Genomic DNA, 2,008 nt, shown 5'->3' on the forward strand with positions numbered 1-2,008 from the left:
TCTAAGCAGTAGTTTTACATGACTAGCAAAAGGAAATCTGAAATAGCTGCAGAAGCTATGGGCTGATAAAGTCCTGAAAAGTCAAGGTGTGGACAAAGCTGGCTAAGATCTACTGGACCCAACATGACACTGTGTTTGATGTAGGTTTCACCTAGGACTTCATTATTAATGTATGCTCATTAACATACTAAATCACACACCTGCCAGTGTCATGGCAGTTTTGAGACCACCCATATTTAGTGTAAAAATGGATGGCACCACAGTTCTAAGAAATCTCCACTTTTTCCAGGAATTTTCATAATATTCCACCCCATGGTTAAGAAAACCCCATAAAGATAGAAACTCCAAACCCTTACGTGTGAGTCTCTTGAGTATACCTGCACTCCCTTTTCTTGAGTGTGTACTTTTCCCTTTGCAATAAATCTCCATACTTTCACTATTTTCTTACTGGTCCTTAAATTCATTCTTGTGATGGTGTCAAGAGCCTGGACACTGGCTGGGGTCAAGGTCCCACCAGCATTTAGGGACCAGTTTGCCAGTATCAAATGGAACGGTGGCTACTATGGCAGCCCACTTCAATTTTGATAGCTTTGAGCCAGAAATTTCTCCCTGACATGTCTTCCTTTTCCCTCCATCTATAGCCTTTAACTTTCCCACCTATAGTCTATACTCTCAGGCAGACAAAATCTTAATGGGATTTATTGAAACATGCACACACACTAGCCATGAGATTCTTCTTCCATTTCCTTATATTTGGGCAACACTTTTAGACAAGAAACAAACAAGATTTGGTAGGTTCTTGTTGTGGGTCCTCTGTATCCTTGACATGCCCACTACATGTTCCCAACCTTGTCTACTCAACGAACTTTTGATCATCTTTTCGGTCCCAGCTCAAGGGTTTTATAAGTATGGTTTCACTTGTTTACCCTCAACCCCCATCAGACTGTGTACTCCAGAAGGGCAGAGACTATGACTCATTCTCTCGTAGTAGGGAGTGTGGGGGTGTGGGGCTACTGCAGAACTTAGTACACAGCAGGTGCTCAATCAGTGCTTTGTGGTTGACAAATGAATAGATGAATGGCTTAGATGCTAATCAGTAAGGAATCAGTGAGGAATCTTATAAACAAATCTCGGGACAAAGTAGAGAGAGACAAACAGGAAAGCTGGAAGAGCTACAGCAGGAACTGTCAGTGTTGTGCCAGGAAATTGAGGTTCCTTCTAATGCCACAGATTTCATGGATGTTGTGATTACTTTCTTTGGTATATATTTCTTTCTTCCAAATTACGGTAGTTCCCCTGGTTACACAATACTTGACTTACACAAATTAAATAACATAAAAACATTTGCATAAGAACCGTAATTTAAAAAAAGAACCATAATTTTAAAGGTCTACAAAGTCTGCATTACCAACTAACAAAGCAGTCGAATGTGATGCTGAATACTGCAAGACAGAATGCAAGACTGGCAATAACTAACCTGAAGAGAAGGCCTTTTCTCTCCATTCTGTGTTTCTGTTATTTTGACTTCTCATTGCTCTGGTGTATGTTGTCTTACTTTTATTTGATATGATATAATATTATTGTGGAAATAGCCTCCAAGAAAACACAACGACCCCTGACTCCTGATACTCATGGTCTTGTGTAATGCCCTCTCTTTGAGTGAGGACTGGATTTTGTGTCTCATGACTAGCCAATAGAATATGGGAAAAGTGATGGCATAGCAATTATGAAGTGAAGTTATAAATAAAGACCCAAGGTTCAATTTTGGGTCTCCCTCTTTCACTCTCTCATTCACTTGCTCTGAGAGATGTCAACTGCCATGTTGTGAGTTGCTCTATGGAGAAGTCCGCATGGCAGGGAATCAAAGGATGCCAGCAACTAGCAGCAAGTAAAAAACTAAGGCCTTTAATCCAACAGCCCATGAAATCTAAATTCTGCCTACAATTATGTGAGAGAGCTTAGAAATAGATTCTCCCCTAGTCAAGCTTTCAGTTGACACCATAGCCCC

General features: G+C 40.5%; 1 annotated feature.

Moving 5' to 3' along the window:
* Positions 787–1,339: an enhancer, noted in NCBI's record as "NANOG hESC enhancer chr11:112283075-112283627 (GRCh37/hg19 assembly coordinates)". NCBI's record gives its function as "activates a minimal SCP1, AML or CMV promoter by ChIP-STARR-seq in naive H9 embryonic stem cells {active_cell/tissue: H9 hESC(naive)}" and the evidence as "EXISTENCE:reporter gene assay evidence [ECO:0000049][PMID:30033119]".

Source organism: Homo sapiens, chromosome 11 (assembly GCF_000001405.40).
Source record: "Homo sapiens chromosome 11, GRCh38.p14 Primary Assembly".
In the NCBI taxonomy this organism is placed as follows: Eukaryota; Metazoa; Chordata; class Mammalia; order Primates; family Hominidae; genus Homo; species Homo sapiens.